Here is a 22,120-nt window from a genome sequence, read left to right as displayed (position 1 = left end):
ATTGATGTTTTTACTTAACAATATATAGGATCATCTTTCATACAATAAGAGGTACATATACCCTAGTTTATTTACCTAGATTTTCAATATTTATAACATTGTTATGAACACCTAATAGTAAAATCTTTACATTTATCCAGGAAACGCAGTGTGATATAGTGATTAAGAGCATATGTTGCACAGTTAAAAATACCTGGTTCAAATTTAGCTTCACTACTTATGGGAATGGAGTAAGTTACCTCAAATTTTTCATGATTCTATTTCCTGATATGTAAAATTGGGATAATAAAGCTATTGAAGAATTCTTATGATAATATAATTAGAAATATATTTTAAACAACATAACACATAGACATTATTCACTAATCATGATTAGCTACTGTGATTATATCCCTGGGACACATTCTCAAAAATAGTATTCCTTGGGCTTTATAGGAAGTCTGATGAGAGACAATGTGGCTTTATTAGAGTGGAGAAGGTGCAGATGAAGAGATAACAGGCTCCAGGCATGTTTTGGAGGCAATAGGCTAGATTTTAGGGGAGAAGTAAACTAAGGAATTAAGATAGTTTTCAGGTTTTAGCTTTGAACAATTGGGTGGTTGGTGGACACCGTTACTAACACTGGGAAACCTGAAAAAGAAAGATATTTGGGGAGAAAAATCATGAGCTTCATTTTGAACACAATTAATAGGAAGTAGCTATGAGGTACAAAGGTATAAACATCAAGAAGGAAGTTGTATGTATATATATGAGTCATATATATGTCTTAGAGAGACAATCTCAGAGATAGAGATAGAACCTGAGGAGGCCTCAGCATGCAGATGGTATTTGGCACCAATGAACTGAATGAGATCACATAACTTATGCAGATCATGTGGACATGCAGTCAACAAACAATTTGTTGATGACCTAAACTTACACTGTTATGCTGGTGGTTAGGATGCCATCTAAACATTCTTGACTTAGTTGAGTTATTGCAAGACACTTACACATTTAAAAGTTCTGATTTACCGTGTGCAATGCTTGTATTTGATTTGCTTAGCAGGCATATTTCATATAACATATGATTTCATTGCATGAAATTTTACATTATTTCCTCATTAGAAGTACTTTATATGGTAAAAATTTCCCACTCGATATCAGATAACTTCTTGAGACTTGGTGTCTGATTTTGTACAAGGGAAAAAGAATTATCTGGTGCAGTTTCTGTTTTTATCCCAGCTACAGCATATAACCATTTTCTTTCTGATACTGCAATTCTAGGGTGCTTTGTTTGTTCCTCACTCTGCAGTTCTTTGATGTCTGTCAACATAGGTCACTTCATCTTATTCATGGGAAATAATTGTGGCATTTATTCTGTTTTGCTACATGGGCATCACATTTTTTCCTTCCCTCCCTCTGAAAAGATCACTCATGTAGAGGGAAGGATGAGGTACTCTATCGATTCTGCTTTCTAATGAGAGAAAAACATCAATTTGACTGTCGATGTGAGGTGTATTTCATATACCCTAAAGTAAAAGCCAACAACTGTGACTTCCTTGCAAAGAGGAATCCTCTAACTATAACATTTGCAGTAATGTTTCCTTTTGCATGGATGTTTAAGAAATTCGAGATTATAAGAATGATTTTTCAGCTTCCCTTCAGTGATTGTGACTCTTTGCTGTCACCAGAAAAAAAATAAATAAATAAAAACCAACTGGGTTGTCTCAAAGCAGTAAAAAGACTTGTAGCCTTCACCTCATTTTATAGAAAGATGTCAGTGATTGACAAATACGCTTTCTTAGATGTTTAGATGTTTAGTTACAATAATTATAACTTCACCCCACAGATCTTAGCCTAAATGATAGAAAATGGAGCCCTACTTGCCTTGCTCTTCCCGCTCCTGAATACAGGGTGAAGGGCTGGCAATGAAAAGAATTCCCATTTCAGGCAGAAGGAATCCTGTCTTTTTGGACAGAAGCTTTCTAAATCAACAACTCAAGAGGATTTTTAATTAGGCACCAATTTGTAATCAGATAATCTCTCACTTTAAACTTGGTTCAGTTACCCACTTAGTGACCTTAGGCAGGATACTGAATAATTTTCCAACCTTATTGTGCATATGAATCCCCTGGGAATGGTGTTAAAATGTATATTACTAGATTCTACCTCTAGAGATTCTGATTCACTAGGTCTGGGATGGAGTCAAAGGACCTGTGTATTTCACAAGCATTCCAAATAATTCTTTTTTTTTTTTTTTGAGACAGAGCCTCACTATGTCGCCCAGGCTGGAGTGCAGTGGCGCGATCTTGGCTCACTGCAACCTCCATCTCCCAGGTTCAAGCAGTTCTCCTGCCTCAGCCTCCTAAGTAGCTGGGATTACAGGTGCCTGCCACCACCCCTGGCTACTTTTTGTATTTTTAGTAAAGATGGGGTTTCACCATATTGGCCCAGCTGGTCTCAAACTCTTGACCTTGTGATCTGCCTGCCTCGGCCTCCCAAAGTGCTATTACAGGCGGGAGCCACCACGCCCCGCCCATCCCAAATAATTCTAATAGTTTGATCCAAGAGACACATTGAGAAATTCTATTCTTTCTTTCCTTACATCAGAGGGCAATTCTAAGAGCAGAGAAGATAGAAAATCTGAAGGTGTTTTGAGTGCATTTAAAGGAAACCAGAATGCCAATAAATGTGAGATACTGTGCAGCCAAGTTCTCTGCCTCGGGCACTGAAGGGAGTGAAAACCTTCCCTCTGTGTGTGAAAAAGAAGTGGAGATCTCTTCTCTGCACCTAGTAGGCTACAGGGGGATTTCCTATGCAACTTCACTTTGCATGGCGCTCCAATCTGCCAGAAGAAAAATTGGAGTGATTATGAACAAGTTGTGCAAGATGAAAGCATTTTTTCTCAGCTGTGATGGAGAATGTCTTGATATGAGGAGGCTTGCTGTACTCTGCAGGTGAGTTGGTGAGAAGTGAGCTCTGGAGGAAGGGAAGCGGGTTCTTTGCATAACATTGAAGGCAAACATCCTGTTCTCTTTGTAAGCATTAGGTAATTAAATATTTCCTAGCCAAGAAGGAGAAAAAAACTCCATGGCTATTTATTTCACCCTTTCCCTAATGCCAATCACTTTAAATGTGTTTAATTAACAAATATTTATGGAGCACCTAGTATGTGCCAGGCACTGGGCTGGACGATGAGGCCAGTCATGGACAAAACCCTGTTGCTCCCCTCCATTAAGCACTGTACACTTTCCTGAGGACATCACCACATGGTTTTTAATGACAATCCAGTGTGATTGTGGAAAGTGCTAGAAAAAGAGTAAGTCACCCAACCCACACTAGGAACAGAGCAGGGAAGGCTTGCTAGAGTAAGACTGGCTAGATTGGAAGCCAATATGAGACCTAAAGTAGAAACAGGAATTAGCTAGGACTTCTGGGTACACAGACCCACATTTTATTCATGGTTCAATTATTCTCTTGTGCTATTTGCTCAGGTTCCCTGGGTGATTGCCAGCTTGGGAGGATGAAAGGATATGTTAATAAGATCTTTGAAAGTGCTGCACAATACCTGGTCAGGGTAGAGTAATAATAATGATAATTCCATTTAATCAGGTTTTACGAGATCAGACTCCTTAATAACTGCTTTCAACACGTTATCTCATTCCACCTTTGCTGCAACACTAAGATATGAGGCAGGTGCCAGCTTAAGCCCATTTTACGGTGGAGGAAATTGAGACTCAGAAAGTTTAACAACATATCCATTTACACACCAGTCTGACCTCAGAGTTGTTATTCTCAGCTACTGTGATTGAGTAATCTTGGAAAGTAACCTGACACCAAGCAGGGGCTTAATAAATATTTATTGACTGAAAATAGCCTTCAGTAACTAATAAATGTCAACTAACCAAAAAACATCAATACTACCACTAATACAACAATAATGGATATTTTTAGAGAATAAAAATGTTCATTCAAAACAATTCATTACAGATACACAGGACTTTTCTACTTTTAACATATATGGGTCATATACATCTTATAACCCATAGGACATAACTAGAATCAGTCTTATAATCCCACATTGCAGACAAAAAGTTAGTTTAGATATTATAGATAGTAGACCTAATTTTCTTCATAGATATGAGGAGATTAAGGCAGCTAGAGATAAGTTTTAAATTGTCCAATGTCTTATAGAGACCAGAAAGCAAAGTTTTGAATCCTACACCAGAAATTTTTTTACTGCTCATCTTCCCCTGGATGCACTGACTGTGAGTTTAAGACATGGTTGACTGTCTTGAAAATGCAGGGCATAGGACACCAAGGCAACTCAAGGGAAATCCATCATGCTTTCAAGATGCTTTCAGCTCCAACAGAAAACTGCTATCAAAATATCTGGAACAGTAAAAGAATGATCTCTTCTGCAAATATCTACTGAGCACCTACTATGTGCTTGGCATTCTAGGCACTGGAGATTCAATAGTGGAGGGGCTAGACAATAGACGTAATAAACAAGTGGAATATAAAATATGAGGCTATCAATGTAAGAAAATAAACCAATATGGGGTTCAGGGATATGGTGTTCTCTTTTAAATAGGATGGTCAAGACTTCATGCAAAAGATGACATTTGAGCAACGATTTGAAGAAGGCAAAAAAAAAATATCGTCTTGTGAATATCTGGGGAGGAGAGTTCCAGATAGAGGGAACAGCCAGTACAATTGCCCTGAGGCAAGGGCTTATCTGGTATGTTTAAGGACTGGACTTGTGGCCAGTGTGTCTGAAGTTGAGTAGGCAAAGGAGGAAGTTGTGAAAGATGGAGACAGATGATGGCAGACAGATGCAAGATGGGGACCTTATAAACCATTATAAATAGCTGGACTCCTGCCTGAATGAAATAGAGAGCCACTAGTTGAAAAACGCTCTTTCTAGCAGCAGCTCAATTAAGGGACCACTGTCAGAAGCAGGAATCGGTTGAAAGGTTATTGCAATAATCCAGTTTTTCACATAATAAGTCATGAGGCAGGGAGCCCCCAGAGCTGATAAATTCCCTAGGTGAAGCACAGCATAGAGGACTCAGATCCTCTCCATCTCCCTGCCTTGCTGTCCTTGGAATGTCAGCTTGGTCCCAAGACAACTGCTACAATTCTGGGCGTCATACTCACATAAACCAACAATGTCAAGCGAAAGGACATTCTGATTTTTTTTTTTTAAATAAAGGAAACTTTTCCATCAGATATCCCTAGAAAATTTCTTTTGATGTCCCCTTTGCCACAGTCTAAGTCAGATGCCCACTTCATTTTATTTTTTTCAAGACGGAGTCTCGCTCTGTCGCCAGGCTGGAGTGCAGTGGCATAATCTCGGACCACTGCAATCTCCACTTCACAGCAGATGCCCACTTCTAAACCATCCATTGGCAAGGAGAATGGGATTAGCCTAACTAGCTTTATACAAATGGGCTTGCATCTGAGTTTGGTATAGGATCATCATGCCTGAGTGGAGGATGCCACAACAAAATCTCGGCTTTGCAGCAAGGAATGAGGATGTGATTCAAGGTAGTCCGACAATAGTATCAGCTACAGGAAAAAAAAGACAGATAAGGCTTAACCAGTTCTATTGCTACCACTGTGCCAAGGGTGGTGGGTCATTGGCCTTGTTCTTGGTAAAACATTTGGCTCAGGCAAATCCAGACACCAAGCTTCTCTAGACGGATTTGTCTTGAAGCTGGGGCCCAGGGTGTGTGAGAAGAGCATTTGCCTTTTTGTAAATGTTGCTCATTAAGCAGGCTCAGCATCATCCTACTTACTGCCTATGCTATTAGTTAATGGAATTTAAAAGCCAATAATAAATAATTAAGCACGTGGACATTGTGGGGTGGTTCCTGGTTTTTTGCTCAAGGTTTCAAGTAAGGATTACGCCTTTTTCTTAGTATATTTATTTTTAGTCTATTATATAGAGCTTTAAAAAAGAGTGTATAAATAACTTTATACCAATTTGGTTGCAGGTAAGAATATTGAATTTTATTCATCCATTTATTCAGTAAATATATATGGGCAGTAGGTGTTGAAAACACAGAAGCCCTCAAAATAGCCACGGTCTGTGGTATTAATGGAGCTCACATTCTAGTGCAGAGGTGGACAATGGAAAATGCAAGCTTACAAAAACACAAGACATTTTCTGATGATGACATATGCTATAAAGAATATAAAATGGGCCTGGTGTGGTGGCTCACACCTGTAATCCCAGCACTTTGGGAGGCCGAGGCAGGCAGATCACGAGGTCAGGAGTTTGAGACCAGCCTGACTAACATGGTGAAACTCTGTCTCTACTAAAAATACAAAAATTAGCCAGGTATGGTGGCAGGCGTCTGTAATCCCAGCTACTCAGGAGGCTGAGGCAAGAGAATTGCTTGAACCTGGTAGGCGGAGGTTGCAGTGAGCCAAGATTGTGTCACTGTACTCCAGCCTGGGAGGCAGAGCAAGACTCCATCTCAAAAAAAAAAAAAAAAAAAAAAACAGTATAAAATGTGTTCATGTGGGAGTGGCTAAATGAGGGAATGGGGAATGCTACATTATTAGATGGCTTTTCTGTGAGGCTTTTCTGAAGAGGTGACATTTAAGCTAAGACCCAAATAATGAGTAGAAACCATGTTCAAAAAATCCATGGGAACAGTGTTTAGACACAGGAGACAACAAGTGTGAAGGCCCTGGACAGAAGCAATCCAGGCATGGCCAGAAGGAAGGCCAGGATGCCTGGATTGGTCAGTAAGGGAAGAGTTTATGTTGAAGTTGTGGAGGGAAGCAGAGGCAGGTTCAGGTGTGAGCTTGCAAGCCATGGTAAATAATTGTGTTTTATTCTGGGTACAATGGGAAGCTTTCAGGAGTCTAAGGATGGAAGTACTCTGATGTTTTAGGACCTAAATCCTAGGGCATTTCACCTCAGTGGAGAATTTTCAGTAACGTAATCTTCCTTATACTTGTATTGTGAAAATTAAACCTCACCTCTAAACTCAACTCTTTTTGTTTTGTTTTCGCTTCTGACGTAGAGCTCTTCATACCTCACCTCTCATAGTAAAATGCTGTCTGTGGTCTGAAGTTCACTGTGCTATCTTTGCCCAGGATCACCACTGGAATTTGTAAATGTTACAGTTTTGTTCAGCGCCCAAAAGCAATTTTCAAGGCATTGTTGAGATCACTTAAATTTGGCAGCCTTTAGACCTGACCATGTCCTTTCAGCTTATAGTTAAAGGAACATAAGATCTGTTGTTTTTTCATTTTATTTTTTACTGTGGGTGATATTTCCATAATTGTATTAGCTGTTTCTTAAGGGTCATTATCATCTATTGTTTCATGAGTGATTTTTCTGATTACGATTTAAAGCAACCTTTCCCAAAATTATGGCACAGTCGTTTGTCCATGTGTGCTTCTCACTCTACACCATTAATCAAATATACCAGGTAATTTTATGTTGGCAGGTCTATACCAATGATATTCAAGCAGTAATGATTTCCAAATATTGATATTAAGTGCCTATTTTCCAAGGAAAACTGATGGCAATTTTTTACAGCTTATTATTCACACATGGTTCAGAATGTATATTCCTTTTCTTTCTTCAGTCAATGATTCATGTAAAGCGCAGCTTCTCATCAGGTGTACCTGAGAGAATATTTTTCTAAAAAGTATCTTACAGCATGCCAAAGATGTCTTTTAAAAATATTGCTATTTAATAGCAGTTTAAACCAAATTCATGAAACTAAAACAGAAAAAATAAATAACAAACTTTATTTTAAAAACAACTCAGATATTACTGTTTAAAAACTTACATTTTTTTTCACATAAAGTAATACTCTTTGTGTTTCTAACAGAAACTTGAGGGCATTAGAAAGACTTTACCATAGTTAAGAGAATGACCTATGAACAGATGGCCTGGGTTTGAATCCCAATGAAACGACTTTCTGTGTCACTTTGAATAGACTGCATAACTTTATTTTGATTTGATTTAGCTTCACTTTACTCCTCTGTAAAATGGGAAAGTAGTAGTTTCTCCTTCATAGGCTTGTCAGGAGGATGAAATAAAATAATCGACACAAAGCACGGCGCTTGACACAGAGTGAATGCTAAGTAAATGTTAGCTGTGATACTAATGAAAACAGATAACAAGAAAATAAAAATGACTCATCATTCTACCACCCGGATCATTATTTTTTTAATATTTAATATTTGCTAAGTTTAGTAAACTCTCTCTAAATGAGCTTAAAATGGCCATCAGATCCATGTGTTTACTAAAAAGATTATTTACACCTGGGTGCACACAAAGATTATATTTCATCTTTGGGAAGAGCAATAAACACCTGTAGAGGGTTCTAGGCTCCAGTTCTACAGACACGATGTCAGAGCAAGTGGAAGAAAATTACAGACAGCTAGTTGTCTCTACATCATCAACAAACATGAACAATTAATTAGGACTTCTTACACCTAATCCAAGTATTATTTACCCACATGATGTTAATGAACAAATAGGTAACTGTGCGATTAAACACTTAGATTCATAGCATATTGGAATTTGAGGGAATTTCCTTTGAAGGAAACTGGGAGATCTTTTTTAGAAGATCTGCCCACTTATAGACAGAGAAAGTGGGGTACAGAAAGGAAAACAGACAGAATGAAGTTATGTGGAAGTTTCCTCTTCCACTTTACCACTTAATGTTTCCACCACTCAGGTTCCCCTGTGGCATTAAGGGATTAGAGTCTCTCTCTGATATCCCTTCTGGTGGAAAAACAAAGGGAATATTACTTGGCCTGGAAAAAGAAAGAAAGCCTGTCATTTGTGACAACACTGATGAATCTAGAGGACATGATGTTAAGTGAAGCAAGACAGGCACAGAAAGGCAAATACCAGATGATCTCACATCTGTGGAATCTAAAAAAGTCAAGCACATAGAACCAGAGAGTAGACTGATAATTACTAGGGGTTGGGGTAAGAGGAGGTTGAGGATACAAATGATACAAAATTTCAGATAGGAGGAATAAATTCAAGAGATGTACTGTACAACATGGTAACTGTAGTCAATAACAAGGTATTGTATACTGGAAAATTGCTGAGTAGATTTTTAGTGTTCTTATAAGTAAATAATAAGTATGTAAGATAATGTGTATGTTAATTAACTTAGCCATTCAAAATGTGTACATATTTTTAAACACCATGTTGTACACCGTAAATGTAGACAACTTTTTCTCAATTAAAAATAAAAACCTCCTGACCGTCTAGCAGATGTTAGCATTTTCTACCTCTATTTTATCAATCAGCTGTTTTCTTTAACCTAGGTGGTGATTAAATGCACAAATATTAAAGGAGGAAAGACAGTAGCCCACCAAGGGCCTTGGTGTGGTCTTTTGGCCAACACCCAGGCTAATCACATCAGCAGAGTGGTTCAGGCCATGTATTTGGCTCTTGATGAAGCCTGGCTTCCCTGGTCTTCTCTAAAGCCTTCCTCAGAAACTGCTGACATTTCCCAACTTCTCATGGGCAAGGGAGGCTTGATGATACAAAAAAAAATCATGATTAGAAATGGCTTTCTAGCAGTCCAAGAAAGGCATTAAGACAGGGGCCATATCTTTCTTATTTGTCTAATACGGTGCCTGACACTTATTGAAAAGTTGATAAACTTAAAATTGAAGAAAAATTATGGTCAGCGCTGAGCACATCCAACATTCCAGGTGCTAGGCTCTTGGTGTGTCAAACACTTTCTAAGGTCTCACTTCTTAGCAGAGGCTGCATGACACCATAGTGAAGAGCACAGGTTCCAGAAAGTCTCACCCAGGTTTGCATTCCAGCAAATCTGCTATATGAGTATGGCATTTAATGTATCTGTGCCTCAGTTTCTTCATCTGTAACATAGGGATAATAATTGAAGCTACATCCAGGGCTCTTGTGAGGATTAAATTAGCTAATACATGTAAAGAATTTACAATGCAGCATGGAATACAGTCAGCATTCAATAAATGCTTGCTCTGTCATTATTAATGTTAGCACTAACTTACTCACTCCATGGGCCCTCTGAAGGAGATATTCCAATACCTAGATTTTGGCAGAGGAAATTGAGATTTGAAGAGTTTAAATGATTGAATGGTTCCTCCAAAACTATCATTAGTCACCAGAAAACCTATGATTTAAACCCAGAAAGTAAACATTCAAGGGAATCAATAATGGTTCTATGTGGTAGTTAAGAGAGCAGGCTTAACAACCTGACTCGGGAGTCAGTCTGTTGGGTTTGATTCCAGCCCGAATCAGGAACCTGTTATTACCAGGTGTGGGTCCTTGATCAGGTTATTCTGAGCCTGGGGGTCCTGAGAATAATACATCCTATCTCACAGGGATGTTACAAGATTTAAAGGAGATAATGCTTGTTGGCATTTAGCTCACGGACCCGCACCCAGCAGGCACCCCATAAACTCTTTCATTTTTGTCAATAGTAGCAATGGCTGTAGTAAACTCCAGTTTCTTCCTCCGAAAGCCCTCCCAAACACCCAAGAATCATTCTTGGCTCTGCCTTCCTAACTTCCTTCAACACTCATACTCATGCACTCTATCACTAAGTCATATGTCATTTTCCCTCTTTTCTCTAAATAGGTCAGTATCTCCAATCCCTCAACCTCGCTCCAACCCCATTGCCACTATCTTAGTTTGGACACCATCTTCTCTTCTCTGGATATTGGAGCAGCCTCTTTGGCTTACTCCCCCTCTCCTTATTGTCTTGACCACCTCCAGTCTATTCTTCACACTGTATCCAGAGTAGCATCTCCAGTGTGTACATATGTCACTCGCCTCCCAAAAAGCTTCATTAGGTTTCATTTTCTTAGGATACCCCCAGCCTCACTCACCATTCTCCTCACGTACTCTCTGCTCCATGTGTCCTCTAATGCCATATCCCCTCACCTCCAGCACTACACACATACTGTCTCCTTTGCCAGAAATATTTTCACTCTCTCTTTTTCTGGCAACCCCCATTCATCATTCAAATCTCAGTGTTGGTTTCATTTTCCCAAGTAAGCCTTTCTTAACCCTGAACTCTGAGCTTTGTGGCCCTTGTAGAAGGTCCTGAATGTTCTCCATCATACACTTACCAAATGCATTATAATTTTCTTGCTCCTTGTATGTTTTCTCTACTAGTCCATACTCTGCATGAAGACAGGATTATATCTAACATGTCTGCTACAACTACTTGCTGATATACAACTACAAGTTGTGTAAGCATTCCTAGTGCCCAGCACCATGCCTGGTGTATGCTAATGCTTAGCAAATACATATTGAATAAATGCATGATTAAGTAAATGAAAGAATACTAGCTTTCCAATCAGCAAGAAAAACCAAGAAGACAGGATACTCCAAGAAAATTCATTCTACTGCCCAAACTGGTATTTCTTACTGCTAAGTTCAACTCCTTGTCAGTGTACTTGGTTTATGGAATGCCTTATAGTTTAAATGATTTATCCTGGAATAGAGCTGCTATTTTTCAATGTGCTGGTATCAGTGGATGCCTAAAGAGCTAGGTAAGACCAAATGGCAACAACCTTATATAGTTAAGTTTTCAAAACACATTTACAAATATTGTTTCATATGCTAGATTGTTTTGATTTGTATACTAGACCTGTGGGAGAATGAGGTGAGGAAACTAAGGTATAAAGAATTACACACAGATCTTAGTTCTTCTTTATTCTAATCAAAATATTATTTACCCTCGTTATGCTGCCTAATATGCAATTAATGTGTCCATTATCACAGCCCAGGTCTCTGAGGCCGTATTGCTGTAAAGCAGTGATTCTCAATATAGGGTGTGGGAGGGTAATTTTGCACCCCCGGGGATATTCACTGATGTCAGAAAACATTTTGGATTGTCCTGACTGGGGGATGGGAAGTGTGCTACTGGCCTCTATTGGGTAGAGCACAGTGACACTACTAAACATCCTCAAACAGACCCATCTCCCCCACACAAGCACACAACAATTACCTTGTCCAAAATATCAATAGGGCTGAGGTTGAGAAACCCTGCCATAAAGCAAAGCTCATAGACTGAAACAGCAAAGGGGAAGGTAATTGTGTAAATCTCTCCAGATGTAATCCAGATGTAGAGGAACTGATGAGTACATACCCTGTTTAAAGGCATGAAGTTTGAATTAGAAAATACAATACTCTGCAGGCCAAACAGAACTCTCATGCAGGCTGCTGTGAGCAGTGTGACACGCCCAGGGGAAGGTCCTCGCTGAATGAGCAAATCTGGCCCCTTACTGTAAGAACAACAGGTACAACATTTTCTCCTCTGCTACCTCCTAAAAGATTTACTATTATGGCCTCTCAGAATCAAGAGGAAAACTGAGTTAAAAGTGTTTTCTTGAAAAGACGTTAAAACCACTTACTCAAATGCCTATTCTGTATCTCTAAGTGTTAGCCTACAGGTCAGAAAACTAAGATCTTGCCACCTGGATTCATGTGCTGCGTTCCTTTCAAATCCTCTAACATTCTCATCTGTCCAAGAAGAAATATGCTGCCTAATCCTGGGGAAGGCTCTAAGGCCAAAATAGATATCAGAGTCACAGCAATCCTTTTAAAATATTGTTTCATATCAGAATATTGGTTCCTCTTCATAATATTCATGATTTAATTAAAATGCAGAGATGTCTGGGAAGGAGGCAGATAGGACAGTTTTTTTCTGCAGAACAGGAAGCACATTCTGGATTTACTTTGGAATGCTTTCTTTTTATGAAGGCTTTGAGGCATTATATACACTGAATAATTGGAACATTTTTTATCCAGCTTGGACAAGAAATATTAAAGTCCACTATTTCCAAATGAGAGCTAATAAGTGCATAGCCCAAATACAGCAACTGAAATCTGCTTTATATATTTAAAATATGTTTTATAATTCCATTAACTTATAATAAATAGGAGAAAGAGTGAATTTTAGCTGTTTTAGTAAAACTGTTACTGTTAACCTCTTACCAGAAGGCTCTTCCCACTTATATCTTCACACGTGCAAATTCTTCTTCTCCTTCATAGCCTATCTCAGATGCTACCACCTCCAGGAAGTTTTCTTGGATTCTGTCCCAATGTTCCATTTAGGTGTGAGAGTTTTCTACTATGCATCTCTTTTGGCCCTTCTGTAATATTTATATATTTATTACTTAATTTAGTCTTTCTTTTCTATCTCCCTTCCCTTCCCTTCCCTTCCTTTCCCTTCTCTTCTCTTCCCTTCCCTTCTCTTCCTTCCTTTTCTCCTTCCTCTCTTCCCCCTTCCCTTCTTCCCCCCTCCCTCCCTCCCTCCCTCCCTCCCTCCCTCCCTCCCTCCCTTTTACATTCTATGCCCATACATGCATCTAATCTCACAGTCCTTGGCACCATGTCCTAGGAATAGCAAACTTTCAACACATATTGGATCTCTGGAGGCATTGATAGGTAGGTGTGTGGATTTTGCTAGATTTCTTCTACATGATTACGGTAGTCATTGGCAAACTCTTTCTTTCAAATAGGTCAGAAGTAAATTTGCCCAGCCCTAATCAAATACCCACAAGTTCCAAATAAGCAGATACAAAATCTTAGTGTCAGTCTTGGTGCCGTGTCCTGTACTAGACAGTAGGGGAGATAATGTTCAGACCAGGCAACTCAGAGAGCACGGTGGCATGGGACAGCCTGAGGGAAGGAATAAGCGGAAAGCCTGTACTGGAATGTTACCTCCTCCACTTGCTTGCAGTTGACTTTATTTAATGTCTCTGTGTAAACTTCCTCATCTATAAACAGATAAAATAATGATATGTATTTTAGGTTTTTCAGGAGGATTCAATGAGATATTCTAGGTGTAGCACTTAGCAGAGTAACTGGAACCTACTCAGTTGAATGAATCCTCAGATGAATGAAGAACTCAGATGAATATAGATTTGGTGGTTGCTCTTATTACTACTACCGTCATGCATCACTTGATGATGGGGAAACATTCTGAGAAGAGTAATATTAGGCAATTTTGTCATTGTGCAAACATCCTAGAGTGCACTTACACAAACCTAGATGGTACAGCCTATTGCTCCTAGGCTACAAGGCTGTACAGTCCTGAATGTCATGGTCCTGAGTACTCTGGGCAGTTGTAACACAATGATAAGCATTTGTGTATCCAAACATATCTAAACATAGAAAAGGTCCAGGAAAAATACGGTATTATAATCTTACGGGAACACCTTCATATTTGCAGTCCACAGTTGACTGAAATGTCATTATGGCACATGACTGTATTATCATCATCTATTAAAATCAAATCATGTTTCCATGGCTCAGAACCAAAAAACAAACAAACAAACAAACAAAAATCCTGTTGCCTACCTGCTCTGACTTCTCTTTATAAATTAAGAGATTTTATTTGTCTACTCTTTCTAGGTACTATGAGAGTTACTATATAAAATTTGGTGCAAAACATGCTTGGCTTTATTGTGCTTTTCCTTCTTTCGTTCTTTTTAATGAGAGCCAAAATCTTCTGTTGTGAGGCACTGGGCTTTTTTTCTTCCCCTGCTGCATGGTAGCAGCTGCTCTAAATGGAGCCGACCCCCATCTTCAAAGTCCTCTTCAGTCTTATCTGTAGCTTCCCACCTCTCTCTTGCTTTAGTCACATGCCAAGAGAGCTGGCTGAATCATCAGTCCAGACTGCCAATCAGAAATATGAATCAAGTCACTCCTGACTGCTCTGCTAGGTCTAAGGGATGCAATGAGCGAGAAAGACAACATACCCTGTGTCCCTGTAGAGCTTATATTAAAGCAGTGAAACAAATGTTAAATAAATTATTTTTAAAATCTGTAGGTAGTTAGTTAAATTAGAAGAGGAAATCTCGGTGAGGATAAATTGCAGGCTACAGTGGGGTAAATGAGAGGGCCAAACCCATTCCTTGGCCATTAATTTGTCTTTCATTTTCAGCTCAAATGTCACCTCCTCCAAGAAGCCTTCCCTGACCATCAAGCAAAGCAGTCACTCTCTAATCCATGTCCCACTTTATTTCCTTCATTCTACTTTTCACCACCTAAAATAACCTTGTTCATGTAATGTTTGTTTATTACCTACCTCTTTCTTTGAGAATATAAACTCAAAGAGCTAAACCTTAATATATTATTTACTGCTGTATCCTCAACACCTAGAAGAGTGCCTGGCATTTAATAGCTGCTAAAAAAGATTATATTGTATGAATGAATGGGTAAATGAACTAACCACAAAGAGGATCCTCTTTCTTTCAGGTCAGAATTTAACAAGTTGTGAATTTCACACACTGGCTAGTGGGTGTAGGAAGTGTGATGGAAATTGTCAGAATTTTCTTTATTCAGTTCAACTCAATTCAGCTCAATTCAATCCAGCATGTACTTATCAAACTCCTCTTATGCTTCAGGCAGCAAACTTTGATCTCAGAATTCAGCATAAAAAAAGTCCAATTTTTACCTTCTTGCAACTTAGGGTCTGGCCAGGGTGTCAGATACTAAACAGCAATTATCAAAGAATTCTAAGCACTTTATTGGATTACCTCATTTGATCCTCACAGCAGCTCAGGAGCTGTATATGTTGGGAATGGTTATTATACCCGAAGAAGAGAGGAGTAGGTTTTCATTTTTTTGTTTTGTTTTGTTTTTTTGTTGTTTCTTTTTTTTAAGACAGACTCTCACTTACTTTGTCACCAAGGCTGGAGTGCTGTGGTGTGAACGTGGATCACGGCAGCCTCAACCTCCCAGGCTCAAGTGATCCTCCTGCTTCAGCCCCCCAAGTGGCAGGGACTATGGGTGGGTACCACCACACCTGGATAATTTTCTGTATATTTTTTAGAGGTGGGTATTCACCCTATTGCCCAGGCTGGTCTCAAACTCCTGAGTTCAAGTGATCTGCCCACTGCAGCCTCCCAGAATGCTAGGATTAGACGGGTGAGCCACCACACCTGGCTGAGAGTAGGTATTTTATCTGTCATGTTTACTATTGATTCCTTGGCACCATGCACAGTGCCTGGCCTAAGTAAGTATTCAATAAATATGCTCAATAATGAACGAGTATTTTAAAAGAGGAACATGGTATGTGGGAGTCTGTAAGAGGGGGATTTGATCCAGTCTGAGGCATCAAGAAACCTCTCCCTGGAGATATGGCACTTTATTTAAGATTAGAAGAATGAGTAGGAATTTGCTTTGCTTTGACTTAAAAGTAAAAACCTGGGCAGGCTCATCCTGATTAATATTAAATAAGCTAATTTTTTTTTCCTGGGATTTAGTTTCTTTCATAGCAAAATGAAAAACTGTGAGGATGAAACTTCCCCCAAAAGAGGTTGTAAAAACATACAAAGAGAGAATTATCAGGGTAACTTTTCTGTAAGACGTGGGCTTCAGTGAGGTAGGCAACAGGACTGGAACCAGTGAAAACAGGCAGTTAGGAGACTCCAAGTCTATTGGCCCCAAGGCAGGGGCTCTAGCTGGACTTGGCAGGGCAGAAATGGTTGCTTCTGCTCTCCCAGGAGGTCAGTCTAAAGAAAAGCTTAGAGCAGCCTAGTTCAGAGCACAGCACTCAAGAAACTCCCAATTAATTGCTTGTTTGCCACTGTCAGAACCTGACATGCGGAAATCATCTGGAGAAATTTCTTGTCACTGGACTCTGCTCTGCCACACTCAAGGGGCCTTCTCACATGGCACCTAAATGGGTCACCTTTATCTTTCCTTTCTCTGAGGCTGCTGGTTTCCCTTTCAGAGACCTCTTTCTGCTCTTGAGCTCTCCCTCCAGAAACCTCTGCCATTGCTTTAGATCCTCCCTTCTCCTTATAATGACACCATTCCTCTCCTGGTGACCCTGCTCTTATCTGTGATGACACTAGGTATATCCGAGACTAATGCCACTTACAGAGTTAATGACTGCTAACTCTTCATTTGCTATGCCTCCCAGTAAGATAATTGCCTTTTAACAGGAGGTGTTTCTTTTCATTTTTTATAAATAATGCCTAATGCAAAAGCATGGATCTGTAACATTGACTTTTTGGGGCTTTATAATCCCAAAGAATCTTTTCGTATCCTCTTCCTGCTGTCATAGCCCATATGTGGCTTTATTAAAACAGTTCATTAGTCTTTCTTTTTTCTGGAATATGCACTTCTTTAGAGCAGGGGTGGTATCTCATATCCTATGTTGCCATCACTCAGCCTGATATATCGTCAGGGTGGCAATAAATTGTTGGATACATGATTTAGGACAAGCGTATTTGGAAAACTTTCCGTTACCCAAACTTGTCAAGCCAGAGCATGAAATTAAACATCTTACTCCAGAGGTTCTCAAACTTTAAAGGAAGAATCACTTCTTATCCCCAGGGAATCTGGATCCATTGGCTTGAGGACTGTGAAATCTGCATTCTTCATTAGCTCATCAGGTGATTCCAGTGTGGAAATATGAGATCTCCTGTGGATAAATTATTATATTCCCTCAGCCTGTTTTCTCTTCTATAAAATGGGATTGCTGAGAGAATCAAAGAGACAAGAAGCACACTGAAACAGTTCAAATGGTGCAGTGCAAACTACCTGCAGCAGATTCACTGTCCAAAGAAATTTCAAATTTGTTCTCTCTGCCTCTTGCCCATTCTGCATGTGGGTAGATAGGTGCCTAGGCCTTACACTAAATCAATCATTTTAGATTTCAATTGAAAACATATTTTCAATTGAGGTCAAGAGATATTGGCTGGTTTGGAGAGGCCTATTTGGGACTTGAGTTCTAGTCCCATTGTTTATTTTGCTTCTAATGGAGAAGACACATTTTGTTTGTTCTGTTTTGTATTTATTGAGTTCTTTGAGGATAGCTATGGCCAGCATCCTCAGTGAGTATTTTTTTCACTCAGGAAGTAATTACTGAGTGCCTACTATTGACTTAGAAAGTATTCGCTAAGTGCCTACCATTTATTTAAGACTGAAATACACAATTAAAGTTGAAGCATGTCTATCTATAAATTCCATAATGCCTTTGTTTGAATGATATATTCCAGCTTTATGATAGGCTCAAATCCACTTCATTTGTGCTGTAAAGGACCTTCACGTCCACATAAAAAGTATAAAATATCTTCCAGAAGCTTTACCCATATATATTGATTTATCCATTCATCGATTCACTTACTCACCTAATATTTACTATCTACTTTGTGCAGGCACTAGGTGAGGCAGTAGGGATATAAAGATGAATTAGACGTTGATCTCCCCCTCAAGAGTTTGTACTTTCATTATTTAGATAAGATAGGTAAGTAAATAAAGTAATATGCTGTAATTAAGGGCTGATACTACTGTTATAGACAATAGTAATTAAAATTAGGAAGCACTTACAATGTGCTAGACACTGAGCTAAGCCCTTTATATGAACTATCCTATCATATCCTCAACAGTGTCGTTTAAGACTCTATTATTATCCTTGTTAGGCCTGTAATGAGGCTAAAATATGTTAAGTAAGTTGCCCAAGATCACACAGCAAGTCAATGTCAAAGGCAGGATTAAACCCTGGCTGTCTAACTGCAGCCTCACTCCTCTTAAGCACATCTCCTCTTCAGCTACTCTTAGGTTGGTGTATGGCATAGAAGCTCAGAGAAGGCTAACAGCAGCAACATTGGTAGTTTATCACGTGCCTGCAATGTGCCAGATCTCTATGCCTATTGTCTCACTTCTTTCAAGAATACATGAGGAAAACCTTGTTATTCTTCCCATTTTATAGAAGGAGAAACTGAGGTTTGCAGTGTTAAAATTTGTTCATTTCTACCTGGCCATTAAGTGAATGCACTGGGATACAAACTGTCAGGGTCAGGTTGAACCCAAAGCCCACACTCCTTCTACTCCCTCACTGCTGGCCAGAGGTTAGATATGAAGTATCTCTTAGGGAGACACTCCTGCATATAGTCTTCTGTCACTAGTTTGAAATTACCCACAAAAACAAACCAGACCACTTAGGCACTGTTTAAACAGCACCTTACTTAGGATGGCCCTACCTTGCCAAGTCCCTGGGTCTAAGGAGGTAATATGATTATTGCAGAACTAAATGGCCCGACACTGCCAGCAGTTTGTCACCATGCCATAGTAGTCCAAGGGCCAGAGAAGTGGCATACTGGTGGGGGAATGGATTGACATGACCATGGTCTGTCCTGGCACTCTAATGACTTTGTTTTTTCCCTCCTGGGGAGACCAGCACATTTCTCCAATGCTGAGTTAAATATTTTTGTAAGGAAGAGAGCCCATAAAGGCTTAAAAATTATTCCATCAGATTTTCAAGGCACACTTTTATTTTATTTTTAAAAATCTTTCTCAGGGAAATGTTGGTTTTCTTTTATGGACATTTAAATCATTTCCTTGTGCCTCTGAATGCAGCATGAAGGACATTTGACTCTTTCTCTTCATTATATACAATAGTGTCTTTGACAGAACTTATAAACCCCAAACTGAAGCCCTGTGCTTTCTTGCCTTCCAGTGATAAGGTTTCCAAAGTCATTATTATTTCATGGACCAAAACCAAACCAATTCCCCATCCCAAATTACTTATATCTTGTGGTTGGTCATGTCCTTAAATAATATCAGTCTATCTGTCTCTGTCTCTGCCTCTGTCTCTCTTTTTCTCTCTCTCTCTCATTTGAAATCTCAGTGAGAGTTTTGGTAAAGTTGTGTAATCCTTGTATCAACTTAGTTTTTCCATGTTTTTTAATGCCATCAGGGTTCACAGATTGATGAAGGGTCAGTTCCTTTGGGTTTAGTCTCTATTCTTGCGTTGTGGCTTTCTATTTGGAGAGTGAATAACTCAGAACTAAGTTATTGCTTCACTGTTAAGGCTGGCAGGGGAAGAAAGAGGCAGTAGTGGAGCACAGAATCTATCTGTGTTAGCCCTCTGTCACCGACTACTCAATCCAGCTTTTGGCTTCACCTAAATGATAAATGGTCCTATTGTTTGGGCTTTAGTATTTTAAAAAATAGAACTAAATCTAGATTAAGCAAGGACAGAGACCCATTTCATTGCACTGTACTTTAATATTCCTGAGATCCATGGCATTACGGGTGGCTCCTTTTAACAGCCATCTCTCTCCAGGGCAGAACACTATGCTGTCTTTGTTTCATCTGATCTTTCAGCTAAATAAGAGATGGTCACTTATCCTCACTACTCCCATATCCTGCTGGATTTCTCTTGCGAAAAGAGAAACTCACCACACGGGAAAAGGTAGAGGTTTCAGGCAGAGCATTTCAGCGTGTGTTTACAGGCAGGACTGACTTACTCAGCAAATCCTGTTCAGAGGAGCTTCAGCCAATGAAGAGGCTATATCCCGGCTTGCTTGGGGGCTTCTGAGTTTGAGCTGCATGCAGAAATGTAAGGCAGTGCTTCCTGGCGCTGATGGCAAAATGGGACCCATCTCCAGTTATTCCTCGGGCACCCCAGCTTTGCAAATCTGGGAAAGAACCTACATAAACATATTGGTGATGTAGCCAGCTTAAAAGGCCGAGAGAATCCTTATGGATTCAGGAGACTGTTTTTTTATTTAGATTTTTATTTTTTATTTGGAAGATGAAATGCTTCTCTCGTTACCTGCCTTACATCTTCAGACCTCCGAACACCATCCTTTCTTCCAGCTGCCACACAGAAGGTACAGACCAGAGAGGGAGAGTGTCTGGGTGGGTGGGAAAAGTGGGCTGGTGTCTGACTTCCCACGGGTTCTGCTGATGCTGCTTTCTGTAGCTACTAGGTGACTGTCATTCCTGGCAAAAGCTTGTATCCAACAGACTTAGATCTGCTTCTGAAATCAGTCTGTCTTGTACAAGGAAAGGGAAGTGTTTTCTGAAGAACAGAATAATGTTGCAGAGGTAATCTCAAAGCTGACACAGCTAATTAGAAAATAACTCAGAAATATTTTGCCAATTTTCCTTGTTTCATTTAACATGCAAACAAGTCATTGGAACCAGTGTCAAGAAAACAAAAATCAGTAGGTGCTGCCACATACATCTGTCCGAGCTCTCTGTTTTGTCACTGTCTGTTTGATAACTTGGTGCATGCCCAAGAAAGCAATTAGCAAAGTAGAATTAGCTTAGTACATCACTGTGGAGTGTTGATTGTTGGATTGGTTCACTTGGAGTCTGTACTTGGGTTACAGAGCAGTAAGAACACAGCTGACTTTCAGCACTTACATGAAATGTGGTTTCTGGGGGTCCTAAGTTAATGCTTTAAAGAGAGGGTAGGCTGAGCCTTCTACACCTTCCCCATTTCCTGTTTTTTTCTGGGGACCTTCTCTGCTGCCTTCTAACCTAGCATGCTATGCATACGTGTATGTGTGCCTTGTAAACATTCTGGCAATTCCCTTTCAACTAAGCACTGCAGAATTCCACATTTCTATAGTCAGAAGCTGGTTGTATACCTTCTATATGTGATGTGCCTGTGTTTTAGATCTGACATATCCTAGAAAAAGAACAATTTCAAGAAAAGCAACTGGCTGGACATTTTTCAGGCTTAAGGATTGTCCTACTAGTGGCATTTGATTGAAAAGGGTTGAGGATGCTGAGGTGTTGTGACTCCAACTCATGTCTAGCCACACTCTCTTGGAACTGAGCTGGCGACCAGCCTGTTCTGAAAACCCACTCTTGTTTTCATCCTCCAGGTAGAATCCTGAGACTGGGGGCTGTGTGTTTATAATGAAGGAAGCTTGTATTATATCATAAGGTAATTTTTTATCCGTACCTTCAGGGAAGGGAGTAGACATTTGGGATCACCCTTGAATTGAGACTGAGGGTGGTATTTTTCATAGACATTGATATCTCATGGACTTTTTTTTTACAGTTGGACATTTCCCTTTAAAAATTTATTGGTGGCAAAAGGAAATGGTCCACTGAGAAATCTTTTCTTCCTCGTGGAGAAAAACTTAGTAAGTCCTTATCCATATTGAGGGGATGAGAGGAATGAAAAAATGGCATGGACTAAAATCTCCAGGAGAACTTTTCAAATACTAAAGATCTAAAGCCATAGAGAAACTGCCTAGATGACTTTTGTATTTCTGATTGGTCCTCCTGTCCTCTCCTGCCTGCTTAGACTTTGAAAATTTAAACACTTGGTCTACTCAGTTGCTGTCTTGTGTATTAATTAAACGAAACATTCTATATCATATA

At 39.5% G+C, this 22,120-nt stretch overlaps 1 protein-coding gene across 6 annotated transcripts in view, besides 1 other annotated feature; it reads left to right on the top strand.

Moving 5' to 3' along the window:
• Positions 1–22,120, top strand: part of PPP2R2B (protein phosphatase 2 regulatory subunit Bbeta) — a 500,779-nt gene that overhangs the window by 5,246 nt on the left and 473,413 nt on the right. For 2 of the 6 annotated variants that reach the window (NM_181676.3, NM_181674.3), the window contains exon 1: positions 20,314–20,610. The exons of the other annotated variants lie outside the window; for them this stretch is intronic. In NM_181676.3, coding sequence (NP_858062.1) covers positions 20,532–20,610 — 79 coding nt within the window. In that variant the 5' untranslated portion in view covers positions 20,314–20,531. Of the gene's footprint in view, positions 1–20,313; positions 20,611–22,120 lie in introns of those variants that run through there. 6 annotated transcript variants of the gene reach the window in all.
• Positions 10,875–10,974: an enhancer, noted in NCBI's record as "active region_23362". NCBI's record gives its function as "activates an Ori minimal core promoter by ATAC-STARR-seq in GM12878 lymphoblastoid cells {active_cell/tissue: GM12878}" and the evidence as "EXISTENCE:reporter gene assay evidence [ECO:0000049][PMID:35858748]".

Source organism: Homo sapiens, chromosome 5 (genome assembly GCF_000001405.40).
Source record: "Homo sapiens chromosome 5, GRCh38.p14 Primary Assembly".
Lineage (NCBI taxonomy): Eukaryota > Metazoa > Chordata > Mammalia > Primates > Hominidae > Homo > Homo sapiens.
Note: the sequence above shows the minus strand (reverse complement) of the source record. Positions and strands in the feature narration are given on the sequence as shown.